Source organism: Homo sapiens, chromosome 6, assembly GCF_000001405.40.
Source record: "Homo sapiens chromosome 6, GRCh38.p14 Primary Assembly".
NCBI lineage: Eukaryota > Metazoa > Chordata > Mammalia > Primates > Hominidae > Homo > Homo sapiens.
Window position 1 is genome coordinate 45747959 of NC_000006.12, and position 8424 is coordinate 45756382.

The 8424-nt window shown below is 42.9% G+C and overlaps 1 annotated feature.

Annotated features, from left to right (window-relative positions):
- Positions 6658-7158: an enhancer, noted in NCBI's record as "H3K4me1 hESC enhancer chr6:45722353-45722853 (GRCh37/hg19 assembly coordinates)". NCBI's record gives its function as "activates a minimal SCP1, AML or CMV promoter by ChIP-STARR-seq in primed H9 embryonic stem cells {active_cell/tissue: H9 hESC(primed)}" and the evidence as "EXISTENCE:reporter gene assay evidence [ECO:0000049][PMID:30033119]".

The window sequence follows — 8424 nt, forward strand, 5'->3', positions numbered from 1 at the left end:
GCAATCAAGCTATTGGCCAGGGCTGTGGTCTCATCAGAAGCTCATCTGGGGAGGAACTCATCTCTACATTTATTTAGATTTTTGGCAGAGCTTATTTCCTTGTGTGGCAGGACTGAGGCCATCCTTGGCTACCAGAGGCCTCCTGCAGTTTCTTGCACTATGAGCTTCCACTTACTTTATGGCAGCTTTCTTTCTCACAGCCAGCAAGGGAAAGAGATTCCAGGCTAGTCTTCTAGGAGTCTTATGTAATTGAATCATGGGAGGAACATATCATCACTTTTGCCATATTGTATTGATTAGAAGTAAGTGATAGATCCATCCCACTCCCAAAGGGAGAGGGATATACTAGGTCATGAACACCAGGAGGCAGGGATCTAGGATCTGTCTGCTACAGCCTATATCTCCCACCACTGCTTTTGAAAAGTGGATGCCAGCAATATCAGATGTTTCTAGTTCTGTAACATACCATGTCTCTTTAAATCTTTAGGAATTTATATATGCACTTGTGTGTAACTGAAATGTCCTTCCCTACTACATCTCCTCCAGTAATTCTTCCTCAGTGTTTTCTACCTTATATAAATGTGATCATTCCCTTCTCTGTTCTCTGGATCCATATCCATGGTCATCCTCACCAGGCAGTGAGGTATGTTGCTTGTATGTCTCTACTGTATCAGACTGTAATTTCCTTGAGACTGAGGAGTATGTGTTCTTCTGTATCTCTAGGGCTCACATCTAATATTTGATTAATAAGCCTGGAGAATGGATAAAAGGTGGCTTATATAATGGGAATTGATCATTGATCTAAAATGTTAGGCTGTAATATATTTGCCCTCATACTCTTTAAATAAAACTTAAAAAGGTATTTAGCCTCTCAGATATATTAGTCAGTTTTAATTAGGTAATGTTTTTGTATAACAGCATATAATATAAAAATTAAGCATATAATATATAAAATTAAGCATATAATATATAAAATTAAGCATATAATATATAAAATATAATCTAGATTTATAACAACAAAGTCTTATTTCTTGCTTACTTGATACTTTGGCTGTGATTCTGCTCCACATGGATTCTTTTTTCCAGGATCCACATGGAAGAAGCACCTGCTGTTTGGGACACGCATTTTTTTTTGTTTGTTTATATTTTTATTGGGTACAGAGTAGGTATATATATTTATGGAGTATATGAGATGTTTTGACACAGGCATGCAGTATGAAATAAGCACTTCATGGAAAATTGTTTATAATTTTTTAAAGAGATAATATAGCTCTGCCAGAACCATGTGATCATTCTTAAAACTTCCATGCAGCTATGGCTCACATTCAACGGGCAGAAGAAGATCATATGAGCAAACCTGACCCAAGTATAGTTTTAGTATGAGGATGGCAGCAAATAGAAACAAAAATACAATCTATCACAACATCTAAAAGTTTTTCATTACAAGTTTACTAGTTGCAAATTTTGTAATTTATGACATATTGTGTATGTGCTTTAAATATTTTTGTCATAACCTTAGAACTCATTCAGTTTTTGAAAATGTCCAGTCATATAAAATCACTTTGGCAAAGGCAGTTCACACAGTCTTATTTGTTTTTTTTTTTTCCAGAAAAAAAATCTGACTTAAATTTTCAACTCAAATTGGTGCAAACCTATGGCAACCATCCATTCCTAACTCACAGACAGGTAGATAGATACGCAGTTAAAGGCACAGAGCTATGCCATTAATTGCTTTTTTTTTGTGGAAGAAATAAGGTTCTGGCCCTTCAATAATTCTTACTAAAGACCTCGTTGTTTCATTGTCAAGGGGTCCCTTTCAGGAGCCATGCATTATTGAATTGTCCCCTTGTTTGGTATCCTAGAGATTTATACTCACCAAAGTAATGTTCCAAAGCAAGATCTGAGTGGGCAAGAAATATGCCATGTTTTGTCAAGTAGGGAAAATGTTGTCTGTGAAAGGGAAGTGCAGAGGCAGAATGGCAGGCTGGTCGGGGAACAAGTTCAAGAGCATTTCTGGAGTCAAGGATCTGGAAAATGATTCCCAATTTATTCACATTTGTGTATCCCTCTGGAAAGTCTTTGGTTCCCCATAGAGGTATACACAGCCAATCTGAAGATTATTTCTGTAGTACTGGAATGCTCTAGGTGCAGGTAAAGGTGCACCTAGAAAAATGAGTAAAAAGACCACAGCAGGAAAAGGAACCAGAAGGAAGAAAGTGGAATAACAAATGTGATATTGTGAAATATGTATTTGGTCTTCCTCCTGTTTCCTGGGATATAACTCCTAAAATCCAGGGACTCTCCCAAGTGATGTGTCCTTCTGTATGCTAATGAGATAACTGGTGGCTGGGGGTCCTTAGGTAGCTTCAGGATGGGAACTAGTCACAGGAAAGACCAAGGCAGGATTAGAGAGTTGGGACTTTCAGCCCCACCCACCAGCCTCTGGGAAGGAGAAAAGGGATGAAAGTTGAATTGATCATCAATGGCCTATGTTATAATCAATCATGCCTTTGTAATGAAGCTTCCATAGAAACCCAAAAGGACTGAGTTCCAGGTGCTTCTGGATAACTGAACACATGGGGGTTCCTGGAGGGCAGTGCACCCAGGGTGGGTATGGAAGCTCCATGTCCCTTCCCCCACACCTTGCCCTATGCACCTCTTCATTGTATTCTTTGTAATATCCTTTATGATACACTGGTAAATGTAACCAACTGTTTCTCTGAGTTCTGTGAGCTGCTCTAGCAAATTAATCAAATCCCAAAAGGGGGTCATGGGGTCCCCAATTTATAACTGATCAGATAGAAGTATAGGTGACAACTTATTAATTGAGATTGGTGTCTGAAGTTGGGGGAGGCAGTCTTGTGGGGCTGAACCCTCAACTTGCGGGATCTGATGCTACTTCCAGGTAGATGGTGTCAGGATTGAATTGAATTCGAGGACACCCAGCTGGTGTCTGCTGCAGAATTGATTGTTTGCTTAATTTGTGGGGAAAAACTTGGACACATTTGGTCACAGAAGCCTTCTGTGTTGATGGTGTAGTGTGAAAGCAGAGGAAAAACAGTGTTTTTTTGCTTCATAGAGAACACTTACAGAAAAAGTGTGAAAGCTGAGACGTGAAAGTTTTCCCTGGCTGAAGCTAGCTAAGGGGATGACATGAAACTTGCTCCTCCAGGAGAGCAGGAGAAACCAGTCATGGGGTTGGATAAGAAAAGAGAATTTGGGGGTGCATCCCAGAGTGAGGAGTGATCATAATAGGAAACTGTCCTGGAAACCTTAATAAATCCACTGCACGAAGGATGAATATGAGCGGCAGTTTGAGGAAACATCATATATGTGGTTTCTCCAGTAGATTTCAGAGGAAGTTGGGGGAATCATTGATTTCATCTGCTCATCGCCAGTATGATTAATACACACTTCAGAATACACACACACACACAAACTTTCTTATTAATGAAGCCTACGTGCCTTATACAAGAAGCAAATCACAAAGCTTGGGAAACACTTTTCTAGGACATCTCCTGTCCCTGCTCCTACCCCTCTATCACCCACCACCACCACTTCTATCTTCTTTTCTTTACCTTATCTTTCTTTCTTCTCCTTTTCTTGTTTTCTGCCCCCTTCTTGCTCCTCCCTTTTATTCTCATCCTCATCCCCAAAGGCTTTACCTTCCCTCAGTTTTCCAATCAACAACGAACACTGATTTAGAAAAAAATCAACATACTTCATCCTTTACCTCAGAAAATCTTAGGAAGTGCTTTAGCCTGGGAAGAGCATCTCTGTTGGGAAAATGAATCATGGACGGTAGTGTCTCTAGCCAGGAAAGTCTCTCTAGCCAGGTACAATGTGGCCCATCACCAAAGGGCTTGCTTAGGGTCCTTACTCAAATCTATATGTTTGCATAGAATTGTAGGATGCCAGAAGCGAAAAGAAACTTAGTGATCACCTAATTTAAAATGTTCTTTTTACAAAAGAGGAAACTAAGGTCAAAGATGGAAAAAGATGTGTCCAAAGTTACATAGGACTGGTAGTTTTAGCAAATGTAGTACAGATAGTGTGCATATGCTGCTCTTTATTTCCTTTCTGTTGGGTTTTTGATTGACGACAGCCAGCTCCTATTTACCAAAGAGTAGGATACTTATGGTAATTCAGTAACTCATTAGCCCATTTGTAACCATGCAGCAGTTTTAGGTCACGCTGGAAGGGAATGAGGGCCGCACAGACAGTGACATATACCTGAGCAGACTTTTGTCAGTTCTGAGGCACATACCTCTGATGGAAGTCTTAAGCAAAATATACCCGAGGTTAAGACTGTTTAAAATGATCTATTCTCCTAGGAAGTGCTTGGCTGGTCGTGAGAAGATCTGGATTCCAATCTAGCTCTGCCACTGGGTTTTCTCTGAATGGCCTTGGGTAGTCCTTTCCCCTCTTGAGGCTTCTGTTGCAGCATTTTAAAATGTGAATCATACCCCATGGAGTTGTGAGAAGCAAATGCATTGACGGGTGTAAAAGCATGTGATCGATGTTCCCTGCTGCAATAATAAAGGGAGTTTAATTTGTATGACTGCCTTCCGCTGCCAAGGAGAATTGAGGGTTGTGTTTTCCTAGGTGAACGATACCCTCATGCCATGCTCTCACATTGCACTGCAACCCCCCGCCAGGGTCTCCCCTTCAGAGAGGCTTTTCTGACCAGCCCCTTAACATCTGAAGTGCTACCCACTGGGTCCTTCTCTATCTTCTTCACTGGTTCTATTTTTATCTTTTGCACTCATCAGCCTCTATTATGCAGCATTTGTTTATTATCTTTCTCCCCCATCAGAATGTAAGATTCAGGAGGGCAGGGTCTTTGCCAGTTTTACTCACTGGCCTGATCCCAAGGCCTAGGACAAACAGCGCCTTGCTTTTTTTTTTTTTTTTTTTTTTTTTTTTTGGTGACAGTTTTGCTCTTGTTGCCCAGGCAGGAGTTCGGCTCACTGCAACCTCCACCTCCCAGGTTCAAGCAATTCTGCCTCAGCTTCCCGAGTAGCTGTGATTACAGGCACTCATCACCATGCCTGGCTAATTTTTGTGTTTTTAGTAGAGATGGGGTTTCACCATTTTGGCCAGGTTGGTCTTGAACTCCTGACCTCAATTGATCTGCCAGCTTCTGCCTCCCAAAGTGCTGGGATTACAGATGTGAGCCACCACGGCTGGCCCAGCGCCTGGCTCTTCGTGCCTGTTCAACAAACATTTGCAAATGAATGAATAAACGGGAGATCTCTTGAAGAAATTTGACGCAGGCACATGTAGCATTGAGCCCATCAGGAGTTGTAGTCGCAATAGGAGATGGAGGTGACTTAGGTGTGATGGTGATGGCTTGGGTGATCCACAAATTCAGATTTTGTGGCCTGAATGGATGATTTGAATGCCCAGAGATATTTGAGCACTTTTGGCAGAATTTTACTTCTTTATTGTACAAGGAGAGTTAGGGATCAACATCTAGACATGGGTGGAGGTGAGACTGTGGGAGAACAGCTCATTCTTATTTTATTTTATTATTTTACTTTAAGTATACATGTGTCATGGTGGTTTGCTGCACCTATCAACCCGTCATCTTGGTTTTAAGCCCCGCATGCATTAGGTATTGGTCCTAATGCTCTTCCTCCCCTTGCCCCCTACCCCCGACAGGTCCCAGTGTGTGATGTTCCCCTCCCTGTGTCCATGTGTTCTCATTGAGAACAGCTCATTCTTATAACATTAGCAGCAGGAGAAGATGAGGAGGCAAATAGGGGGTTAAAAAGGGAGGCAGAAGGGCCTGTGGCACTTAGAGGAGACTCTTCTGCCATCTGCAAGTGTGAGCCCGCTTTTGCTGAACAGAAGACGTGATCTGGGATGAACTGTTTACCCAAGCTGGGGAGCCTATTGATGATTGGCTGTACATGTAACCTGGAAGCTTCTGTTTTTGTGAAGTGAGAAAAAAAAAATCTACCCACAAAGAACATTTGGAGCACTGATGGGAAGTACAACTGGTATTTCCTCAGAGAATGATGGTAGGGGCACAGATCTCAGAGCAACCTTGCTCTGAACTGACTTCCAGCAAACTGGGGTTGGTAAAACGGACTGTTGTCCACAAGTTGGTTGAGATCGAGGGTCTTGATCTCAATGGTGGTATATAAGGATATTATATTGTATGATATTATCTCTTACTATGTTATACTGTGTTGTGTTGTAAGATTTTATATATTATATATCTACATTTGCATCTATACACACAGATATGCATACGAGCATACACACCTGTGTTATGAGAAAAAAGCAAGGAAAGAGGGAGTTGGGAACGTGTTGTGTGTCCCTTGAGCAGTGTTGACCAGCTGCAAGAGTCTCAGGGAACTCCTCTTGTGATTCAGCTGTTTCAGCACACGGAGTGCCTCTGCAGTGCTCTGCAATCCTTCAGGAGCCCCTGGTTGAAATGAGCCAAGCAGCACTTAAAAGAAATGAAAGAAAACAGTTAAATGCAACTAATCCCCACTGCTGTCCCAGTTGGTAGCTGTGGAGCAGAATGCCAGCTGTCCAGAACCTCGCTCTGGGTCGCTGATGCTGGTCTGCCTGTCAGCAATCCCGGGTCGTTGTTTCTGTCCCGAGGCACACCTTGCGGCTGGGTGGTTAGGGGTCTGCCCTGGGCTAGGCAGGCTCCAGGATGGGAAAGCTGCAGGGTCAGCAGGGCTTTGCCTGGGTCTGTCTCTCCGAGAGAACAGCTCGCACTTCCCAGGTGTGTCTGAGTGTGGTAGATGGGGGAGTGGTGAGGTGGGGACCCTGGTCCTGTTGCCCTCGAGTGTGTGGAAGAGACATGCTCCACCTTGTGCTCTCCCTTCCTATCTCTTCTTTCTCAGGGTCTGAAGAGGCTTTCTTGGTGTGGCTGGGGGATCCCTTCCCTCCACACAGTCCTCCTGCCTTTGAGCAGTGGGGCTCATTTAGGGCTCCTGTAAGTTTCCTGTGACATCCCGGGCAAGCTGCTTTTCTCCTCAGGATGCTTTGTCCAGCCAGCCAAGTCATGTTCCATTGAGGTCATGGGAAATGGAGTCTTTTACACAGATACTTGCAAATGAGGGCTCAAACTTGAATCCACAAGTTGGTGGCAGAAACTTGCATATGTCTATCCCCATCCTCTGGCACCCTCCACCCCAGCATCTGTTTCACACCTTTCCAGCTTGCAGAAACTCTCTGGTCTCCTTTGAGTTTCAGTCTTCCCTGGGGTTCAGTGGGAGCCATGATGTGTGTGGACCCTGGAGCTAGGTGTGGCTGGGAGCCTCAGGTCATCCTGGATGTTGAGTAAAGGCTAAGGGTTCAATTGGACTGGCAGGAACCTGTGAAACCAAAAGTTACCCATCAATTGCCAGAGTGTGTGAGGAGGACCACACACCATTGTTTTCTTTTGTGATACACTCCCTCCTTGTCCCCCACCACCTCATGTTAGACTCAGTGTTATGTTATATCCAGGGGAGTTTTTCTTGGCACAGTTATGGATTGGTCTCTATTTTTGATGTAGGCCACAGAACAATTGTTCTCAAAGACGGCAAAAAAGAAAATGGAGTAATTGTGACCCAATCCTCCTCTCAACTACCTGCTCCTTCATTTCCTGCCTCTCTGAAGAGTTTTAGATAGTACCATGGTTCCTTCTGCCCTCCTCGAAGCCCCACAGCCTGCCACTTCTCCCCTAAGCCCCCTTAGAAATTGTGCCATTAGATAAGGAGAATTTTAGAACAGCCCACAGTAATAAAGGTTAGTCAACTATGATATGTTTTACTCTAAAGGTTTTTTTTTGTTTCTTTGGTTTTTTTTTTTTTTGCCTCCAGTCAGCTCAGAAGCTGTTAATTTGGATTATGATTCCTCAGACTCCAAAGGTATTCAGACTGTGAATGCCAAAAGCCAGGGCTTTAAAGCACCACAGTTTCTCTCCTTTCCCACCCCCAAATTGGTGGTGAGTTATTTTTGACTTGCTCATTTCCAAAACTCTTCCAAGTTGAGTGCATGGTCCCCAACATCCTATATAAAAATCAAATCTTGACATCTTACTCAAAAACCTTCAGTGCCTCATGGCTACCTGCAGGATGAATTCCAAAGAGTTAGCCAAACTGCTAAGTACAATTGTTTAGGTTGTACACTGCAAAATGCTAAGGTGCACCATTCTATGCACAACCATACTGAGGTCCTGTAATAAGCAAAGCATTCAAAGCACTTCATAGTATATTTCCAAGAAACTCTTCTACTCTTATGTTCCCTAAGCCTATAGATGTACTGTTACCTTTAGCCAGTCTGGTCTCACTGCTTTTAAATGCACATTGAAATTTCCACATCTGGACCTTTGCACAGACTTTTCCCTTAGCATGAGGAACACTGCTTTCTCATCTTTACATGGTTGAGTCTTCCCAGTCCTTCAAGATCCACCTG